Below are 23,359 nucleotides of genomic sequence, written 5' to 3'. Positions count from 1 at the left end.
ATCCCCCGAATCCTCACTTATCTTTTTCAAGCATTTTTGTCTTTATCACTCTGGAGTTACACAGACATTTTTAAGTCAAATCTCTATAAGACTCCAAGCTCCTGAATTGTCAAGGGCCAAGTCTCATTTATCTCCAAATCCTCCTTCTCATCCTTCCCCCAGTGGACCAAGTTAAACATTTAGTGGGAACTTATTATGTGCCGGCATGAAACGAAGAGCATTATATTCACGATCTTGCTTAACCTTTCCTAGGAAATAGGTACAGTCATCAGTCTCTAGATGGAACAGGGTCTGTGCTCAAAGGAATTCATCATTCCAGGCACACCTTGCTGCCTCTGGTGTAGGGAAACTTAAAGACTTGAGGCAGACTGGCAGATGTGGTGAAAGTGAGGCTCAGGAAGGCTATGTGCATTTCAAAACTGACTGTTCTATCTTCACTGCCTTAACCTTCACCTACACTGCCCCTGGGTTTAAGAAAAAAATAATTCTCACTTAAAAACAAAATAAAGGCTGGGCACGGGGCTCATATCTATAATCCAAGCGCTTTGGGAGGCTGAGGCTCACTTCAGCTCAGGAGTTCAACACCAAGCTGGGCGACATAGCAAGACCCCATCTCTACAGAAATTTTGTAGGTGGGCACAGTGGTGCATGCCTGTTGTTCCAGGTTACTCGGGAGGCTGAGGCGGGAGGATTGCTTGAGCCCAAGAGGCTGAGGCTGCAGTGAGCTGTGATCACACCACTGCACTCCAGCCTGGGCTACAGAGTGAGACCCTGTCTCTAAAAAATAAAATAACAAAAAAACAAAAATGGGAAGATGAGGAAAATAAAAGTCCAAATGGTCACTGCTCAACGAAGGGCCTAATTGCTCAATGTGAACAAAACTCTTCATCCCCAATCTTTGCTCTGAAAACAGAGGTCTGGATGACTGTGGTTTTGTCACTAGATGAATAGCGAGCCCTGAGGATTGTTAGAATTACAAGGCCCAGACCAGATCCACTCAAATATAGCTGGAAGCTTTCTAGTAACTCTAACCGTGCATGGGGAATGAGCTGCTCAGAGAAGTGAGTCACTTACTGGAATCTGTGCTGCCTGCATTACTCAGCTGATATTAATACACCCACTTGTTCATTAAAGTTTAATTGGAGTTCATGTGAATTGGTTTCACCGGATACTTAATCAAAGAGAACTGTTTGTGTACGAACCGTTCAAATACAAAGCTAGCAACACAGCTCTCCTTCAGCCTCTACACACGTCCACCGGCTGCTCTTTTAATTCTGTTGACACAATAAGTGAGTCAGAGAAGGTGGGACAATGACCCTGATGGAGGATGGGAAAAGCTGTCTATACTCAAACACAAAACAAGAGTAAATGAAAAAATCCTTTGTGAGAAGCCAGCCACAGTTCTCTAAACCCATCAGCTACAGTCAGACACTGGCCAGGACTCGAACGGCACCTCCTAAGCGGGAGCTTGTTCCTTCTAGTTTCTTTCTGGGGCTCATTATCAAAGCTGCAGGTCTCCTCTATTCCCTGGGCACCTGTTTTCTAGCTGTACATCTTTATTTTTAAAATGGGTGGATAAGAAAATTAACTATCATTCAACATAATCACACATTTCTCTTGTGCTGACAAGCAAACCATGAACACAATCCCTAATGCCTATTTATACAATCAGGACTGTCAGTACCCTGTTATTTCTTATCAGATATCTCATTAATCAACATTTGAGAAAGTATAAATTTTTAAAGCTTCTGAGAAAAAAACGTGCATGAAGTTAGGTGGAAATATACTTGCTTCGGTTTGGTGGCTCTAGTTGTGTTACCACTTTTTCCTTAAGTGTGTTCACCATTGTTAAGCATGCATGACTTATTTACCAAAAACAAATCAATATGAGTTTAAAACTTGGCACTATGCACTATTTTGAATCCCTGAAGCAATCCTCAGAGAATAGATTAAAGGGAAATCCACTTTTTAAAACAGGTTTATTGAGATATAATTTACATACAATTCACCCATTTAAAGTTTACGGTTCTGTTTTTAGTATTTCACAGTGTTGTGCAATCATCACCACCATATAAAGAGCATTTTCAGCATCCCAAAAAGAAACTCACAGTTATTAGCAATCACTACCTATCCTCTACCCCAACCCTGCCGGCAACCACTACTTTCTATCGCTACAGACTCTATAGATTTGCCTATTGTGGGCTTTTCACATAAATGGAATCATATAATATGTGGTCTTTCATAACTGGCTTTTTTTTTTTTTTTTTTTTTTTTTTTGACAGAGTTTGGCTCTGTCACCCAGGCTGGAGGGCAGATCTCGGCTCACTGCAACCTCCACCTCCCGGGTTCAAGCCATTCTCCTGCCTCACCATCCTGAGTAGCTGGGATTACAGGCACACACTACTACGCCCAACTGATTTTTGTATTTTTAGTAGAGACGGGGGTTTCACCATGTTGTCCAGACTGGTCTCGAACTCCTGACCTCAAGTGATTCACCCACCTCGGTCTCCCAAAGTGCTGAGATTACAAGCATGAGCCATGGTGCCCGGCCTTGTAACTGGCTTCTTTCACTTTGCCATAATGTTTTCAAGGTTCATCCATGTTGTAGTCCATATCAGTACTTTATTCCTTTCACTGCTGAACAATATCCCATTTTATTTTATGCCACATTTTGCTTTTCCATTCAGCCAATCTACTTCTTAAAAATAAAATAACCTCCCATCTACCAAATAATAGCAAGTGTTTTGATAGATATTAATTCTCAGTTTGACATATATTTTGCTTATCCCTTCGATGATCCACTCATGACTGTCCAATTATCCATGTTTAAAAAGTGAGCTTTGCATTAGACAATTCTCAACAGTGGAATGAGGTGGCAGTACCTTATAACCTAAGCCATTCTACATGTAAAACTCATCAAGATGGTAAGTTTATTGTTTCAGTATACAAAGAGCTCTCGCTAACATGATATAGCTAGATTGTGGGCTCCCCACGTTAGGAGCCATAGTTACAGAGCCCCAGGCGGGCAGGCTTAGAATATACTAGAGGAACAACATCCAAAACCATCTCTCTCTCAAGAAAAACCACATTTTCTGCTTCTTAAGATATTAAACCCAACCACTTAGTAATAAATACCTATAATGTGCTGTGCGCCACCATTATAATTAATAAGATATGAGACCAGTCCTCCAGAGTTCAAAATCTAGCAGAAGAGACATATAGAATGAGTCAATGCCAGCTCAAATAAAATTAACGGTATGAGAGAAACTCAGAGAAGGGAATCTTCCATTTGTTATGTCTCACTTGTAATGCTGGTGATTTCATTTCTAACCTTGTTTGTAGAGTTGGAGCTAATTATTACACAGTAGAGACAGTACATAGACTTCCATGAGAATGTAGAATCTATACAAGTTGATCCTTACTGGGGGCATAAATCACACCAATAAAATTACCAGATGACGTAGACCTCAAAAGAAACCATCAAAAATGGAAAGTCAAGGGGTCAAGGAGGTCATCTGTCAAAAGAGAAACACTTTCTGCCTCCTTATAAAGCATGCTTTTCAAGACACTATCAGGAAGCTGGTAATTCACTGAGAATTGCCACCTAAGAAACCATGTAGTGTAAATAAAAGAAATAGATTTCCAAAACCTATGTCAGGTAAACCATACTCTAGTACATGATGCTAATAATACAGCACTAGGCTTATTGGGTACCATGTGTGTAAGAGATTCAAAGGCATTTTCCAAAGAGAATTCAATCCTTCCCACCTCCCAAGCAAGTATAGTGCAGACCCTTAAGTCATCAGGAAACTTAAGAGCATATTCCATCCCTCTTGCTCTATATTCTGACGACATGTCCAGTCTTCCAGATAAAGGCACTCTGCAATCAGAACTAGATGTTTGAGTCATGCTTCTGTTTTTTGGAGTGTAGAGGTATTGACCACCTTAGATCCAACTCATGAAACAGATTAAGTTTTCACACAGTCCAAAAATAATTGATATGCTTAATGAGAACTTATTTCACTTAAAATTTCTACCAGCATGAAACCCTCTGTAATATGCCCATCCAGTTTGTACATCAGTAGAAGTGCTCCTCTTTAAATTCATATAGCAAGTTTGCACATCCTGTTTCCTAATTACCTCATGCAAAAAAGGAATTGTACCTTCACTTCTCTTGTTCATTAAAGCAAGGTTCACGAAATGCTTTGACATTTGATTTTTGAAAAACACATGCTGGTTTAACCGAAGGTCCTAGAGACTCATTGCTGTTTAAACTTGGGGAGAAACAAGATGGTATCAAATCACAGTTAACTTTTTAACTGATCTGTTTAAAGAAAATTAAAATGGGCATTTTTAAGATATATTACAACTCTATATAATCTGACAGTACTTGGTAAGAATTACCTCCTTACAATCAAATCAGGGTGGTGGAGCAGAAAGCACCCTAGAGTCAAATGTTCTGGGTTTGCATCCAGAACTGCTTTAAGAAAACTTATTTCACTTCTCTGAACCACAGATCCACCATTTCTAAAAGGGAAATAATGATAAACCCTGCCTTGCCTACATCATAGAGATGTCATAAAGCACACATAAGAAAATGGGTACTTAAGTGTTTTGAAAGCTACAAGCCCCCCACACAAGGTAAGGTATCATCTTAATGTCCTTTCTCTTTTTTTTTTTTTTTTTTTGAGACAGAGTCTCGCTCTGTCGCCCAGGCTGGAGTGCAGTGGCATGATCTCAGCTCACTGCAAGCTCCGCCTCCTGGGTTCACACCATTATCCTGCCTCAGCCTCCCGAGTAGCTGGGACTACAGGCGCCCACCACCATGCCCGGCTAATTTTTTTTTCTTTCTATTTTTAGTAGAGATGGGGTTTCACCGTGTTAGCCAGGATGGTCTCGATCTCCTGACCTCGTGATCCACCCGCCTGGGCCTGCCAAAGTGCTGGGATTACAGGCGAGAGCCACCACGCCCGGCCAATGTCCTTTCTTATAAAGACATTCTTAATGACATGAAAAACACTTTAGCCTTTCTGTTTATATTTTGAATAAGCCAAAGAAACATCTCAAAATCAACACTACCAATTCCAGGAAGTTTCACAAACACACACGCACACATACACACACAGGCTTTATAAAGATAATTGTTGTTTGGGACAAGAAGCCCAAGAAAGTAAAAGATTCTGAAGAATTGTTCGTCTTAGAGTTCACCTCAGCAACACATCTTTAAAATTAAGTATCATTCAGTGTATTCTTACTCTTTGAAGGTGGGTGAAATACATATGTTAGAATGTATTACCTTTCAAAAAGTGGTATGCCAAATTCCCACCCACCTCCTTCTGATGCTACAGAAACAGTCCAAGGAAGAGGTGGCCCCATTATATCAATGCTTTCTAGAGAAGAGGGAAATGGGAGAGAGCTCTGAGGACAGACCCAGGCATGTGCAGACTGAGGAAAGACAGAACTTGCCCGGAAGACACAGAAAAAATACCAACCAGCAGGCCACCTTTGACCAGTGAATTGACCCTCAGTAGCCACATGGCAACATTCCACTAGGGCAGCTTATCAAGGATGCGGATGCATTCCATTCCCCACACACTCTGTCATCTGAAGTTTACTCGTTCAGATAAACAAAGGTCAAGGACAGAGAAGCCAAGAACTTTTCCAAGGTCATTAGTAGCTGTGTAAATACAACTCCTATGTTCTAAACTAAACTTGCTGATGCTCTTGGAGTGAAGAGGCCGGGAACATGAACAGTCCTAAACTATTCACTGTGTACCTGTCCTTCTCGGTGGCTGTAGTATAATGGAATAGTAAGTGCTACCACTGAAGCACGGCATGCTGTGTGCCAAGCATTGTTCTACATGCTCTACGCATTCTAACTTTGTTAATCCTCACAAGGACCCTATGATGTAAGCCCATTTTATAGATGAAGAAAGTACAGCACTAGAAGTGAAGTTGTTTGTCCAAGGTCACATGATATTATGTGGTAGGATGGATCCAAACCCAAGCAATGTGGCTTCGGCATCTGTCCCTAAACAGTACACAAAACTGCATGTTGAACCGGGCATGGTGGCTCACGTCTGTAATCCCAGCACTTTGGGAGGCTAAGGCAGTCAGACCACTTGAAGTCAGGAGATCGAGACCAGCTTGGCCAACATGGTGAAACCTCGTCTCTATTAAAAATACAAAATAAATTAGTCGGGCATGGTGGCATGCGCCTATAGTCCCAGCTACTCGGGAGGCTGAGGAAGGAGAATCACTTGAACCCGGGAGGCCAAGGTTGCGCCACTGCACTCCATCCTGGGCGATAGGGTAAGACTCCGTCTCAAAAAAAAAACCCTGCATGTTTATGAGCACTTCCAAGATAGGGTGAACTCCCACCATGAACTAGGTACCTTTGCAGACACTCACATACATTTTGTAATTTATTCTCATTATGATATTGAGAGAAAGATTTTATAATCCTTTATTCACAGGAAGACACCGAAATCCTAAGAGGTCCTTAAATTGAGGATTTTACAAACACTAAGAAGCATAGTAGGGTTTGAACACCTGTCTGATTTCAAGTTCCATTTTCTCTCTAAACATCCAGGTTCTGCATGAGTTCTGAGGTTCTCTAATCATCATTAGCACTATCTGTCTACGTATGTACCTGCTTATTCGTTTTTTGCCAAGTGGTACCATGAAAAAAACATGTGTTTACAGGGAGACCACAGCAGTTCTACCACTTACCAGCTGAATGACTTGGACAAGTTACTTAGTCTCAATTTCCTCATCTAATGATGAGAACAATAATAACAGTACTGACTATTATCTCAGATCATATTTCATATGATTGTTAAAAAATTACATGAGATGATGTATGTAAAATACAAGAGTGAACATCACATAAGTGCTCAATATTTAGTCAATAAATAATTGAGTGAATTTAAATTTCAATGATGTAACATAAGCAAAAATCCTACTAGAGTTCCTGTTCTAGAATATTCTGTCAAAACCAAGAACATTATTAATGTATCGTTAGTATCCTCTCTAATAGTTTAAACATGTCTTGGGGCTCATAGCCACGTCTGAGCTAGTCTGTAAAACACACAGTGGCCAGCACAGAGCCTTGGATTTTAGACGTGCTATGATTCAATGATTGTATGATCTTTGTTTGAATTTACTGAGAAAAGAAAATCTAAAATGCTAAAATAACTCCTCTCAAAGCTTAGAAGCTTCAGTTGTCCATTTTCACTCAAAACTTTATTCTCAATTTGAAAATTATTACCCATAATTGAAGCCTAAAACCCACTAAAAGGCATCAATTTAATGTTATTTATTTCTGATACATTTCCTAAGAAATAAGGAAGAAAAATGATTTCCCAATCTCCATATTTTAAAATCTTATCTCTATCTTCCCTACAAAAACTTATAACATCATTTATTTTGTTCCAGGTCCTTAACAGATGGTAATCACAAGTGCTTTCCTGATACAGTTGCTAGCTAGAGGGGCGGGGGGGTGGGGGTGGGGGGTGGGGGGTGGAGAGAGAGAGAGAGATTGATTTTAAGAGGCTATTTGGCATCAAGAGAAGTTCATGTGGCAGAAGTATTTCAACCCGGACATCAAATGAAAAACAAATGCAAGAGTACATAATTAACTTTTAGGAAAAGAAAAAGTATGTATGTATGCATAGATGTGTGTGCATAGGTGTGCACGTATGTGTATAGACAGGTGTAGATACACAGATCTGTGTGTATGTGTGTGTGTGTGCACGTGTACATATGGAAAAGGCCAAGGCTCCACCAGGAGCTCTGGACAACGACGTGAAGGGGAGCAATGCTGAGACAGGACTGGAGGCTGGAAGACTAGTTTTTACACCTCCACTTTGCCACTCAACTGCCTCATCTGGAACAAGTCATTTCAACTTGGTTTTCTATTTCTAAGAATGGAGACCTCACGGGACTGGTGTGAGGTTTGAGCAACAAACGAGATCTGAAAGTGTTTTGGAAATGTGTGTACAAGCATAAAGGGACGTTACTACCCGTTTGTTCCAATGCCAAGGAGAGCAACTTTTTGTCTGAGCCAATGTCGCTCACAAGTGGAATCTATTCCCATCACAGCCTGCTTTCGGCAAAGGAAGAAGGGATGTGGACAATTTTCCAAAGAGGCAATGCTTTCTAATTTCTCTATTATTTCCAAAACAAAAAAGCCAAATCTTTCTCCCACTTTTGTTTTTCAAAATAAAAATAAATTATAACCCTAACTTGCTAATAAATGCAGGCTGGAGCTGTCCTTAAGTAAAAGCTTTTGATAACAAATTGCCTGCACTAAATGCTATTTTACTGCTGATTTTTTTATTGTTGCTTAAGCACAGCAATTATGCTAATAAGCCTGGGAGGATGGTACATCCAGCATTGAATCTGACAGATAAAATACTCAATAAAATGCTAATCTCACCTGAAAATTGGAATCAGACAGCCTTATTAGTATTTATGAATATGGCATCTTAAACATGTTTTTTCAGAGATGAATATATATGAAATCAATGTTGTCTCCTAATACAGCCTGCCATTTCTAGGCCTCTATGTGCTCTAAATTCAAGGTGACGATTACTCCTTGCCTTTACTTAGCTTCTTGCCAGAGAAAAAAAGAACTTATTGGCCATCACTACTACATAAAGAATGAAGCAATAAAATGCTTCTTTTTTTCCTTCATCCACCTTCCTACCTCTCTCCTCACCCCACCTCCGCCAGTCCCCCGAAAAAGGGAAGGTAAGAACTGTCTGTCTGAGCAAAGAAAGAAGGCAGATTTGACAGCAACGAGAACCATTTGTCAAACCATCTGGCTTCTCTCTTCACCTGACAGGAGGGAAGAGTGAAGTGTCAGAAAGAGCAGGGAATTGAGAATCCAAAGAGCTGGCTTTTAGTCTTGATTTTGCCATTTCCTCGATGTGTGACCTTGCCAGACCTCAGTTTCTTAAATAGAGACCTTCTGGAGCCCACTGTTTATGTCTCTATGAGAAGCCTCCATGGGCTGCATTAACACACGGGGCGGGGGATGGCAAGCCCCAGTATCCATGAACACTTGAATATTATAAGCCAAGGGAGATATGAGGCTGGTGGAAACTTGTAATTTTTAAACTTGTGCTTTGGCCAGGCGCAGTGGCTCACGCCTGTAATCCCAGCACTTCGGGAAGCCGAGGTGGGGGGATCACTTGAGGTCAGGAGTTTGAGACCAGGCTGGCCAACATGGTGAAACCCCATCTCTAAGAAAAATACAAAAATTAGCCAGGTGTGGTGATGGGTGCCTGTAATCCCAGCTACTTGGGAGGCTGAGACAGGAGAATTGCTTGAAGCTGGGAGGAGGAGGTTGCAGTGAGCCAAGACAGCACCATCGCACTCCAGCCTGGGCAACAAGAGAGAAATCCCATCTCAAAAATATAAAAAATAAACAGGTAAATAAAAATAAAAATAAACCTGTGCTTTGTCTTACATGGTCTCCTCTTACTATTAATGTGTCCTCGATTTTGAAATATATACCCCTAATGTATATTTGAAATATATATCCTCCATATATGCTTGAAATGGTCCAGGCTTAATATTAGAGGCCTTGGACAGCAAGCAAAAACAGAATGGCTCATTTACCAGCCATCCTCATAAAGTTAGCTGGCTTTCCTTTTTAGTATCAATACATTTATTTGGGGAGGGAACACAGAAGTGAGATGCCCATTTTAAATTTCAGAAACTAACAGTATCTGAATATTGTATTATTATTTACAAAAAATAAGAAGTTCTCTTCTTTAATTTCCACACTAAACCCCATAAAGCAGTAACAGAGAAAATACTGTTCTCCAGAAGTTGCCATGAATTAGGAAATAGAGGATCCGAGAGGACTTTCTCATCCACCTAGAGTAAGTGGGTTCTGGGGTCAGGACAAGCAGTTTTGCCTTCTGACTAATTCCAGCATGCTGCCAAACACACCACAGCATCCTCTGGGTCATAAGCATGTTGAGTCACTCAAACCTAAAATATCCAAGGAGCAATTCCCTGCTCAACACAAGGAGAGAGGAATGGAAGCCTCCATGACCACAGCAGCACTTGTGTCAGAGACTTCTCCCACCCCTTCAAGACCTCAGAGAGTTTCCAGAAAGTATGACTTCCTCTGGGAAAGTCCCAGGCATGGACAAATCAGGCCCACACTAAATAATGGAATCTGACACGTTGTGACAAGGACGGGCACAGATCTCAGAATCCAATTCATTCCAGGGCCCTTGGAAAGTCACTTCCCTCTATAAGCCCATTTCCGCCTCCATATAAGTGGGTCTTTTCAAGACCAAAGAGGTACCTCAGCCACCAGAAGAAGGGAGAAAAAAGACAAAATGTGCTCCAAAAATACAAAGAGTTCGGTACAGCTTACAAAGGGTCTTCCCATTGCTTTCTGGAGGTAGTGTCCACAATGCAGACAAAGCTGAACTATCCCCAACTTTTGGGTAAAGAAACAAAGACCAAGAAACTCAGAAATTCTCCCAGGATAAACAGCAAGCTAGGAAATCCTCAAACCAAAGTGATACTTAATGCACAGCTGTTGGGGGTTGTGGGAGGGAGGCTGTTGGTGCTGGTGCTTTGCACAGGGCAGAATATTAAAAAGGAGGCCAGAAACAGTGGCTCATGCCTGTAATCCCAGCACTTTGGGAGGTCGAGTCAGGCTGACCACTTGAGCTTAGGAATTCAAAGCCAGCCTAGGCAACATAGTGAGACCCCATCTCAACAAAGAAAAACTTTTCTAATTAGCTGGCATGATGGCACATACCTGTAATCCCAGCTACTCAGGATTGAGCCCAGGAGTTCAAGACTGCAGTGAGCCATGATCACACCACTGCACTCCACCCTGGACAGCACAGTGAGACCCAGTCTCAGGAAATAAAAAAGAGGAGTTAGTAGATTCTACATTCAGTAACCATACTATCCAAGACACCCCACCCTGCAAAAGGAGAAGATATGGGGATTACCATAATATCAGAGATGTGCACAACCCACGGGAGAGAAACAATTTACCACCTCTCTCTAACGCTTCACATATATAGAAACAGAATCCAAGTCTGTATACCCCTTTATCTTTATTATCCTACGACCAACAATACAACTTGCAAAGCACTATCACAATAAATTTATCAAGCAGAAATCACTATCTTCTAATTTACAGAGGAAAAAGCTGAGGCACTAAGAAGTTGATTGATCTGCCCAATTCACATGGGTCTCTAAAAGCAGGGCCGGGACTCACAACCAGGGCCCCTGACCTCACATGCCCTGTTTGTTCATTTTTTTTTTCTTCACTTGCTTATGCCCCCTCTGAATTGCCAGTGCTACCATTTTTCAGTAAACAACCAGAGCAGAAAGTCAGCTCTGAACCGATACATCTCCCAACAGAGGAATGATTCGAGTCATACTTCGAGGAATAATTTCTGGGAAAGCAGAGGAGGTGATGCTATCAAACAGTGAAACCTAAAACTCCTACTCACTACCTGCCTGAGAGGGCAGGAAATGGGGCCGAGGCCCTTTCCCTACATGCTCCCCCTGCCCGTTTTTGTCTCTCGCAGTCATTACTAAACTTAGCACCGTAATCAAATGAAAGCTGTTTCCCAGCTGTATGGCCTTGGGTAAGTCCCTGATCTCCTTGGTTCTGTTACCAATACACACTCATGCACACATGCACGTATGTGGGTACACATACACACATACACACACATCCCAGACCATCCCTTCATTTCACCTAGCAGGATGGTAGCTACAGAAAGCCTCTGTCTTTCTTATCCTGCAAAACACCACAGCTACCTCCTAGGCATTCAGAAAGTGTCTCCAGACCCAGCATCTGAAGCTCTGACTTGAATCCTCCACCTCCCCCTTGGGCCTCCTGGGTCCCATCCCATTTCTCCTGCCCATCCTTCCCGTAAGCCCCTCTTCTCCAACCCACTTGCCGTTGTCCTACATTAGGCCTGTGCACCTCCACCTTGAATAAACACTAACTTGTCTCTCATTCTCAACCTTCCCTTCTAACTCCATCTTTCTCTGAGTAAATACTTCCAGCTCTGTAAGAGCTCCTCCTGGCCAGACACAGTGGCTCACACCTATAATCTCAACAACTTTGGGAGGCCGAGGCAGGCGGATCACCTGAGGTCAGGTGATTTGCCCACCTTGGCCTCTCAAAGTGCTGGGATTACAGGCGTGAGCCACTGCGTCCGGCCGAGATGCTGATTTTAGAAGGATATAAACCATATTGTGCCTAGAGAAGTGCAACCAGTTTGGTGGAGGATGTTTCCAGAGCTTTCATAGGAGGAGCTCTTTTTGTTTTATTAATTTATTTTTATTATTTTTTTTGAGATGGAGTCTCGCTCTGTCACCCAGGCTGGAGTGCCGTGGCGCAATCTCGGCTCACTGCAACCTCCACCTCCTGGGTTCAAGCGATTCTCCTGCCTCAGCCTCCTGAGTAGCTGGGATTACAGGCATGTACCACCACGCCTGGCTAATTTTTGTATTTTAGTAGAGATGGGCTTTCACCGTGTTGGTCAGGCTAGTCTCGAACTCCTGACAACCCTTCCTAATAATGATTAGTGTCTCCATTTTATAGATCTGAAAACTAAGGCCCCATGTCAAACATGTCTCTTGCAGACTTAGCACTGGAACCCAAGTGTCCTGGGCTGGCTCTTTTTCTCTTTCCTTAGTATCACGCATCCTCTTTCTACCTAATATATAGCATACTTATCTGAATGAGCCACTAGAAGCAGTAGTCAGCAGTACATGCAGAATCTGAACTGCAAGTCAGAAAAAGGTGTTTCGCAAGTAGCAATTCTAGTTAAGATCTCAACAGTGCTGTTGGGAGGCGGATTTATCAAGCACATCATGTGAGCAGTCTGACCCTGGACTGTTCCCAAAGGTCAGAGCCATAAAACGCAGCCAGAATTTCATTCAATTTCACAAATGCAGCAACTTGGCATGTCTGCTTTCCTTGTAACAGGGGCAACTGCAAAGTCTTCTTCAAGAAGATTAATAATCAAAGTCAAAAATTCAGAGGTCATCATGTAAACCACTTTCTCCTTTTTAAAAGCTAAGCTTTTCCAATATGAGGAGGGTTGACACTCTAAGAAGTTGAGAGCTAAAGAAGAGATGGCACATTCTGACCTAACTTCACTAGGAATGCCACCAGCATCTTAAGCAAACACCACCTCTCCTTGTGCCTCTAGAGAGACAGGATTAAGAAGGAGCCTGGGGAAAAGCTGATAGCTGCTCATAAAAGCCATGCTCCAAAACCAAGTTCCCAGGGGCCCTTCTAGTTCCCTGGGTTAACTGCATTTGACCTTCCAACCCCTCAGGCCTCCTCAGTAATTCAATTTAACAGTTACAGAGTGCCTATAAATGCCAGCTACTGAGCTAGCCTCCAAAGGATCAGAGATGTCTGCCCTCTGATCAGAACTCAGAAACAGATACCACCCATTGAATACAAGGTGGTGTATGAAAGTATCTCTGAAAGTACAAACTGTGTGATGGGAAATGGAGGAGGAGAGAGACTGACACCAAATGTGAAGTCAGATGTTTCTGAGAAGGTGGAATTTGAGCTAAGCATGAAGGATGCTGCCTGGCAGAGGTAGCCAGCAGGGTGGCACTGCACCTGGGATGAAGAATATGAACATGGGGTGGAGAGGCAGGGGCCAAAAGGAAGGCAGAAAGGTTGCCTGAAATCATGAGTGTAGGGTCCTAAGCAGGGATGTCACTTATGCCAGGAGCATTGGGAGGCCAAGAAAACACACAGCAAGTCTCAAGACAGAGGCTCTGAGCTCACTGCTCTTAGGAGCACCCCACCAAAATAAAGACTCCCTCTCCAGTAGCCCAAGGAGATGAACATGTGTACACAAGCCAACCTCCTGTCACCCTGCATTCCAGACAAGGAACTACACAACACATGCATCCCTCCTGCGCTACCATGGCCTCCTGAAGCTGGACAATGTTATCACAACCTCCAGTATTAAATACAAAGCAACAGTGGACCCAGAAAGTATATCAGCAGGAACCTGACAATTCAGAGCTGAGACTAGGTGTCCAAGACCTGATGTTTCAAGGACCCACAATATTATGTAAACGCCTGGCCACTGAGCCCCATATTAAGCTAAAGACAAGAGACTAAAAATATAATAAAGAAAGTATGAAAGGTAGGAAAGTATTGCAAGGGAGGGAGGGAGGGAAGGAGAGAGAAAAGGAGACGAACGGTAAGAAAACAGAATATAAGGGAAGGGAAAAGAGAGGAGGGGAGGAGAAGGACAAGGTAGAAAGACACAAAAAAAGGGAAGAAACGTCTCCCAAAGGGCAAGGTGAGAAGGAGAAGGGAAAAGGTTACAGTTATCCCTCTGCCTATAAGAATGATTATATACAAGTAAAACATGTGACTGCAATTCGGAGTAACTATTTCAATGTTTGTAGTCATGATATTTCATGAAAGAACAAAGAATTTAAATTTTATACAAATAACTGTTGAGGTTTTTAAAGCAAAAAATAAACATATATTTACAGGTATATAAATGTGAGACAAAAACTAGACACATGGCAAATTGCTAATGACGGTAACTTCTTGGAAGAAAGAAAGATGGGGGAGGAGAAAGGAGTTTGGAAAGTTGCAAAAATGGTCACAAATTTTCCCCTTCCCTACCTATGTCCTCATCCTTGCAATATGACTTTGGAGCTTTTTTTTTTTTTTTTTTTTTGGTAGAGTCTTCCTCTGTTGCCCAGACTGGAGTGCAGTGGGGTGATCTCAGTTCACTGAAACCTCCGCCTCCTGGGTTCAAGCGATTCTCCTGCCTCAGCCTCCCAAGTAGCTGGGATTACAGGCACGAACCATCATGCTTGGCTAATATTTCTGTATTTTTAGTAGAGACGGGGTTTCGCTATGTTGGCCAGGCTGTTCTCAAACTCCTGACCTCAAGTGATCCATCTGCCTCAGCCTCCCAAAATGCTGGGATTACAGGTGTGAGCCACTATGCCTGGCCTGACTTTGGAACTTCTGCCACCAAGAAATATACTCTTTCTAAACCCGCATCACTAATAAGTGTGTATTTGTTTACGGACTTATCCATACATATGTAAAAGGCTTTTATGTGCTTTACTAAATTCAAATGTCTTCCTACAAACAGTAGTAAGAACCACATTTATTAAATAATTCATATGTGCAAATTGTTTTAAGCTCTTCACATGCATTATTTCATTTTGTCTTCAAAAATTCCTTTGTCGCCTGTAATCTCAGCTACTTGGGAGGCTGAGGCAGGAGAATCGCTTGAGCCCAGGAGGCAGAGGTTGCAGTGAGCAGATATTGCACCATTGCACTCCAGCCTGGGCAACACAGCAAGATTCCCTCTTAAAAAAAAAAAAAAAAAAATTCCTTTGTCGTCCTATCATTAGCCCCAGGATAGAACTGACATGAAGAAGAAGCTGAGTCACAAAAATTAAACAACTGGCCTAAGGTCATTTGTATACAATGACCTGGACTCTGGATTTAAATCCAGACAATCCAACTCCAAAGCCCACATTCTCCCCACTATGTCTGTGTCATCGTGTTAATCCACCAGTTGGTTAACCCAGACAAAACGGGAACTGGTTAAGACCCTGTTCTGGCTCTTGGTGAACACTACTTCCTTTCAAAGACTCACAAATCACCTGTCTACATAGGACCGTCGACAACTGGAATCACAATGAAATCAGCAGATTCTAGACTCTGGATACCTGTTTCGTTTGGGGGCGGGGTGGGGGATGGGCACTGGACTTTTTTGATAATACCTATTTCCTCGTCTCCTCACTTTCTGGCATTTCTGCTGATTTCTGGGTTTCCTCAAAATTACTGGTAGCCGTTCCCCATCAGAAGTTCTCTTCTGTATCCTGAGATGCGGCATTCGTGGTCCATGAAATTTGCAACCATTTAAGGAAAGCAAATTGCTCTCTCACAACCTCTTCAATTGTCATAGGCATCAATTTCTTCCTAATGATGTCGATTCCACCCTTCATAGATGACCCACCCCCTTGATAGAGATGACTGACAGAGGCAGAAAGCAGCCATGCAGCTCCGCTTTCTCCTTTCATCTGGGCCATTACATCACCCTCTTCGGGTTACAAAAATGCTAGACATCCACACAAAAGGACTCCCTCTTCCAGAGCCCATTCGAATCCCACTCATGTCTAGGAGGTCACTGAAAACGAAAGGCAGTGATTGGCTGCCAATTACATCACTGCTCTACAGGCCTGATTAAACTCTTAATTAATTGAATGCCACTTTACTTACACACCTCACTCCACAGACAAATAAATAAACACAAAGAGAACAACACAGGGTGAAGGTAGTAATAAACTATAGCTTCTGGCTCAGGTAGGAAAGAGGAGCCATTTGCTGGAGTTACCTGTCATTAAAAATGATTCGGTCACCAGGTGGAGACACACAGCTCTCTATATTAAATTAGAGGAATGATTCAAAGGGGACCAGTTTCAGCTGACAAGAGCAAAAAGAAATCAATTTTAGGTTGCCAGGACAACTAGACTTTTCCTGCAAGAATAAATTTGATACAGCCCTAAAATCTGACAACTAAATGTTTCCTCACATTACATCACATCCCTAAAATGTGTGTTGAACCAGTGAGATAATCAAGCCTGCTAATTACTTTCTACAACACCCAGAAGATACAGAAATGATGGTCTTGGCTCCAGTCTGACTTTCCTCTAACAGCTCCACTCGCTATCTTACTTTTATAGTGAATGAGGATTGTGTGCTTCTTAAAATGAATCTGAAAGCATATCATTGTCAGTTGGTCCTTGAATCCTAGAGAAAGGAAGGTGAGCACCTTCTCAATTCAAGTCCCCTAATGGGTTATATCTATACCCATGTTCCCTGTCATATAATTCATTGGCTACCCAAGGGGTTCCAGAGAAGGAGTCCAAAGTCACAGAATTATATTTAATACAATGGGGGGTCTAAAGGGACTTGAGAGGTTACCTTTGTTTTATAGAGGGTGAGTCTGAGGCATAGGTAGGCAAAGCAACTACTCAAGGCCAGTGAAGCTGGTCAGCAGCAGAGTCAGGACTGGAATCCAGCTCTTTGGATAATGGCTTCTACGCCATTTCCTTAAATAGCTGCAGTCATTCCATGGCTGTGCCTTGGAGACTTTAGGAGCTGAAGTTAAGTCCACTTGATCTCCTACTAATCCATGGGAGGCAGTGACCCCAAATGGCCTCATCCCAGGAGGTCAGAGTCCTGAACCCAGATCCAAAAATATCTGATGAGATGAACGTTCCCTGTGCATTTACATTCTCAGAAGCCTGAATATCAATGTACCTCCAGGGGCTATTAAAAACAAGAACAGCTAATAAATCATGGGAAAGCAGTTCACAAATGTAAAGTAATACAAAAATGCTAAGCATGGATAATATAAGTGCCCCAGGCTGAGGCAGTTCCCTGGAGAGCGTGATGCTTTCAAGTGGGCTAGGCTTTGGCGTGTTATTACACAGCCTCCACCATCATCTACCAGAAGATGCAAAGGACACGCCTCTCTCCAACCTCACTCTCCTTTCTTAGATTGCTCCCAAGTTCTCGAGAATGCCCCTAGATCTTATTATAACGTATTGTATTATAATAGAGCCATGGTTATATAGTCTTCACTAAGTGTAGAGAAACACCGAGAGGAGATCTGAAACAAGCAGCTCTGTGCACGTCCCCAGACCACTGACGGGAAAGCAAATGTCAAGCTGTCCCTAGCTTGTCATAAACCAAGTAAACCATGAAAAACAATGAATCCACTAGAAGATGCATGTCAGCCAATTCAGCCTTGAGAGTCGATTCAGAATCAGAGAGGTCAGAAGAGTATATAGCACACACAGCAGGTCTCTGGCTGCAGGTGCCATGGGAGGAAGAGGTGAGGACAGAGCACTCCTTCCAACCACCTACATAGTCTTTGGCAGATGAGGACTTGCTCCAAGCCAGGTAAGCAGAAAAGGCCAGGGGACGAATATCAGGGGTGAGTAGGGTAAAAATAAAATCAAAAGCTAGTATTGGAGAGATTTAGTTTCTAAGTCTGACCCTGCCATTACAAGTTGTGCCACATTGGGTAAGCTACATAAACCTTTCTAATCCATCCATACCTCATCCATCCAATATGGATCACTAGTATCTACTGCATAGGCTGGCTTTGAGGATTAAATGAAATGAACAATAGAAAGCAATTTACCCAGTGCCTGGAACATAGTACGTGTGTAATAAATGCAAATTATCATGATCGAAAGAGAGGCTGGGGGCTAAAATCCAGCACAAGAAAAAGGGCAAAAAGAAATGCATGAAGTTAGAGGGCTAAATCATGGGAATGGAGAATAAATGATTTTTCCTCCACAAGCTCTGCCTTATCTCTACTAAAGGGTCATCACTGGCCCCATTCCCAAACAGCTAGTTTAGGGCGAATGACAATAGCCAGGGATGGTCAGGCACCTCAAGCTTTAGCAGAAATCTGTGGTCAGCATGATCAACCGTGTGGTCAATATGGAGGTCATGTCTCGGCATTTGAGCCACTGAAGTCTAGGACTGAGTGTTAAATGTAGCTCCAAGAACCTTATCCCATAACAAGGAATGAGTTTTCTTAGGAGGGAAATGCACCCTCGACCACCAGTTCATAAACACACTTTAACACAGTCCATGTCTCTTAGAGAGATTAAGAAATGGGTATAATAACCATGGAATTAAACAGAAAGTTCTATTAAATCTTATTATTAGCAGGTTTTATTCTTTATTATTAATTATTATTAAGTAAGTTCTCTTAAGTCAAACTCAGATAAAGAGTCATGAGACTTTCCGGAAAAGGAAAGAAACTAAAATTTACTGAGCACCTCCTCTGGGATAGAAGCATTTAAAAAACTAATAGAGAAGAGAGAATCAAGGAATATTTCCTGAGAGATGTTCCTCTGAGTTGACAATACTCTGGGGCACCTGGCAGCCAGGCTATGGCTTTTGGGGCCACGTCCATTTCTTCAGCAGAATCCTGGTAATGCAGTGCTGCTGGATGGGCCCCTGTATTAAACCATTCTTGCCCTGCTATAAAGAAATACCCGAGATTGGGTAATTTAAAAGAAAAGAGGTTGGCCAGGTGAGGTGGCTCATGCCTGTAATCCCAGCACGTTGTGAGGTGGAGGCGGGTGGATCACTTGAGGTCAGGAGTTCGAGACCAGCCTGGCCAAAGGGGCAAAACCCCATCTCTACTAAAAATGCAAAAATTAGCTGAGCATGGTGGTACGTGCCTATAAGTCCAGCCACTCAGGAGCCTGAGGCAGGAGAATCACTTGAACCCAGGAAGCAGAGGTTGCAGTCAGCTAAGATCATGCCACTATACTCCAGCCTGGGCATCAGAGTAAGACCTGTCTCTCCAAAAAAAAAAAAAAAAAAAAAAAAAGAAAAGAAAAGAAGTGGTTGAGTTGTTGAATTATTGGCTCACAGTTCTACAGGCTATAGAGGAAACATAGCAGCATCTCCTTCTGTGGAGGCTCAGGAAGCTTCCCAACGTGGCAGAAGTCAAAAGGGAGCAGGCACTTCACATGGCAACAGCAGGAGAGGAGGACAGACAGAGAGAGAGAGAGAGAGAGAGAGAGAGAAAGAGAGAGAGAGAGAGAGAGAGAGACAGAGTTGGAGGGTGGGGGGTGCCACACACTTTTAAATGACAAGATTTCACAAGAATTCACTATCACAAAGACATCACCAAGTCATGAGGGATCCGCCCCAACACCTCCCACCAGACTCCACCTCCAGCACTGAGGATTAGAATTCAACATGAGATTTGGACGGGGACAAATATCCAAACAAATATCTAAACAAATATCCAAGCATCAGCCCCCAGAGGCCCCAGGGCCACGAACCACTCTTTCCTCCAGGTTCTGTGACTTACAACAAGAGCACCTACCTGCCACTCCATGTCTGGAGATCAATCAAGGAACTAGCTAAGAAGGAATACGAAGTTGGGGTCCGGCCACCAACAACCTTCATCTACTTCATCGCCACATGATGAAGCACAGCAGACACAACAAAGAGACACAGAAGAGCCTGAGAAGCAAGTATGGCTGTGTTGATAAGCAGAGTGAGAGAATAAAAGGTGTGGAGTCAGGTTACACACAGGACAAAAATGGGAGACAAGAGAAAGAATAGAGGAAAGGACAGAATGAAAGAGCTGTTGTGTTTTTTGTTTGCTGTGTTTATTTATTTAAAGCATACTTTTGCCAAATCATTTTTTAAAGTCACACTTCTGTTCAGTCTTTCAAATGGTAACTACAGCAGGCTTTGTTTTCTTCACTGACCAGCAGCACCTAGAAAAGTTCCTGGAGGCTGGGCGCGGTACCTCATGCCTGTAATCCCAGCACTTTGGGAGGCTGAGGCAGGAGGATCACGGGGTCAGGAGTTCGAGATCAGCCTGGACAATATGGTGAAACCCCATGTCTACTAAAAACAAAAAAATTAGCCAGGTGTGGTGGCACGTGCCTGTAATCCCAGCTACTCAGGAGGCTGAGGCAGGAGAATCGCTTGAACCTGGGAAGTGGAGGTTGCAGTGAGCCGAGATGGTGCCATTGCACTCCAGTCTGGGCAACAGAGACTCCGTTTCAAAGAAAAAAAAAGTTCCTGGAATACAGCAGGTGCTCAATAAATAATAGCTAAATGAATGATGCCCAGTTAGACTGGACCATCATTGCTGAGAAGAAAGCATCATTTAAAGTTACCAAGAAGAATAGCAAAACACTGTTTATGCTTCTCTTAACTCACTTTAATAAGGTGGAGAGCCAGGCACAGTGGTGCACACCCACCGTCCCAGCTACTCAGGGGACTGATACGGCAGAATTGCTTGAGCCCAGGAGTTCCAGGCTGAGATGAGCTATGATCACACCACTGTACTCCAGGCTGGGCAACAGAGGGAGGGGAGACCTCATTTGTAAATAAATAAATAAATAAAGTGGGTAACACAGTTTATGGCTCCATTTATTCACCAAACTTGAATTAGATTGACCCGCACTCTAGGACAAAGGAAAAGAAGTCATCCCATCAATGAAACCCTAAAGCAGAAAAGCCTCTCTGTGGAAACAGAGAATCAAGGGAAATGTACTCTGTACAGTTATGTTTTAATCTGAAAGTGATGACCCAAAGTCAGGATGGGCTCTGGCCATTCCAGTCTCTCCTTTGGGAAAAGGTGCCAGTTTCCACCTCTTAAGACCACCACATGCTGTAGAACTAAAATAGAGGTGACTGCTGATTCCTTTAAAGAAATAACAGTTGGAGAAGGGGACAGGATTTAGAACTAAATTTAAGCACTGAATTAGGCTTACCTAGAAAGCTTGACTGTCAATTTTCATGGTGTTCCTTCAGTCAGACTCCTAACGATAATTGGAAGGATTAATTCCTAGATAGTTCAGAAACTACCCTTTTCCCATAATGGAAAATACGTGGTAACTTGGAGGTGAAACTGCTTATTACAAAACAGTGACAAGGGTCAGTCTCAACCAATCCACTCTAACCATAAGGTCTATCAGGAATTCTTGCGGCCTGCAAGACTGGCACTTCTTTGTGTGGCTGTGCCTAATCTTAAGAGGCTATTATTATTTATTACACATGAAGCACTTTCTATCTGCAGAGTGCTTTGGAATCGTTTTTTATTAGTTACTCAGCATTCTGAAGTCTAAACACAGCTAAAGTTCTAGTGGAGGATGGAAAACTCCATGATCTACCAATTCATCACACTTGACAGGTCCATGCCCCTCCTCCCAATGGGGTGGACAAGTTGATAAAGGCACCAAGAGAGTGGTCAGAACGAGAAATCCAATTCAATCCCACTCTCATTTGCCAGAGCTACCTGGCACTGGGCTAGGGGCTGGGAGCTGTAGCAGAAAGAGGTACAAAAATAAATTTGACACAGCTCTTGACCTCAAGGAATTTACAGTCTGGGACTATTTGACAGGACTTTTATGGTCCCCTTTGTGGTTAAGAAAGCATAAATAGGTTTTAAATATCATGTGCAGAAACACAGAGCATGTTCCTACATGACTCACAATTTGAGCAATTATACAGACATAATCCAGTATCAAAAATGGAATAAAAAGGAAAGAATACAGAATGAGCTTCTCCAATTTTCAATTTCCATTGTTAAGTTAGGAAGTCCCAAACTACATCAGAAAAAAATTTAGAATAAATGAATTCACTGATAAAGAGAAGAGAGAAAAGAAAGCCAACACAAGAAACTTACTCTAAGAAAAAAGCAGACATTTAAGAGAAGGGTTTACTTTTCATAAAGCCATGTAAGGGTGGCATTTGAAAGTTACTATTGAAGGAAGTTACAAATAATTTCATATATATCTCTAAACATTGACGTTTACAGCCTTTGAGGCAACCATCCTTTACTATAAGATATAAAATAGACGGCCAGACATGGTGGCTCACACTTGTAATCCAGCACTTTGGGAGGCCGAGGCAGGTGGATCACCTGAGGTCAAGAGTTTGAGACCAGTCTGGCCAACATGGTGAAACCCCATCTCTACTAAAAATACAAAAAATAACTGGGTGTGGTGGCGTGCACCTGTAACCCCAGCTACTAGGGAGGCTGAGGCACGAGAATCGCTTGAACCCAGGAGGTGGAGGTTGCAGTAAGCCGAGATCGTGCCATTGAACTCCAGCCTGGGCAACAAGAGTGAAACTCCGTCTCAAAAAAAAAAAAAAAAAAAAAAAGATATAAAATAGCCAAGTCAAGGTGGACTTATCACCTGGCAAAAGTACAAAAGTATCAGAGAACACACTGAAAAATGAAAGGGGGGTAAGATTGAGAGAGGATTCTACATGAATTTTAAAGTATTTTATAGCCCTTGGCTTAGGGTTTATGGTTCACTTCTACAGGTCAGCATCTACTACAAAGCCTGGCACCATATTAGGTATTATTAGTTCTTCATTGCCTTAAATAAGTGAAAGTACACACGTACAAATGAATAATAAGAAAGTAGAAATCCTCAATTCTGTTTTCCATCGTGGTGCCCTAGTTGATAATTCAGTTGTGAAAGTAAACTGACTGACATATCACCCCACCAATTACCAAGACTGATTCACCAAATACTATGGTTCACATGATTCATGACTAATTCAATCCCATCCTCTACCATCTTCTGGCTGTGGGTGGTGGGGGCAGTTATTGTGTGTTTTTATCCTGCTTTACTGGGTAGGCTGAAGCCTGGAAAGGCAGAAAACACGACGCAGGCATAAAAGCACTGAACGAGTCTCTGTTATGCCATCTCTTCACCATGTGACACTGGACAGCTTCTTCACTGTATTTCAGCATCGCTTTGCTCGTTA

The 23,359-nt window shown here is 42.5% G+C and overlaps 1 protein-coding gene across 56 annotated transcripts in view, besides 2 other annotated features; it reads right to left on the bottom strand.

Moving 5' to 3' along the window:
* LPP (LIM domain containing preferred translocation partner in lipoma) overlaps positions 1-23,359 on the bottom strand; it is a 737,651-nt gene that overhangs the window by 594,338 nt on the left and 119,954 nt on the right. The gene's annotated exons all lie outside the window — the stretch shown is intronic.
* Positions 5,399-5,693: an enhancer, noted in NCBI's record as "tiled region #910; HepG2 Activating DNase unmatched - State 5:Enh". NCBI's record gives its function as "activates a minimal TATA promoter and a strong SV40 promoter by Sharpr-MPRA in HepG2 cells {active_cell/tissue: HepG2}" and the evidence as "EXISTENCE:reporter gene assay evidence [ECO:0000049][PMID:27701403]".
* Positions 5,399-5,693: a silencer, noted in NCBI's record as "tiled region #910; K562 Repressive non-DNase unmatched - State 24:Quies". NCBI's record gives its function as "represses a minimal TATA promoter and a strong SV40 promoter by Sharpr-MPRA in K562 cells {active_cell/tissue: K562}" and the evidence as "EXISTENCE:reporter gene assay evidence [ECO:0000049][PMID:27701403]".

Source organism: Homo sapiens, chromosome 3 (assembly GCF_000001405.40).
Source record: "Homo sapiens chromosome 3, GRCh38.p14 Primary Assembly".
Taxonomy (NCBI): Eukaryota; Metazoa; Chordata; class Mammalia; order Primates; family Hominidae; genus Homo; species Homo sapiens.
This window is presented reverse-complemented; position numbering and strand designations above follow the sequence as displayed.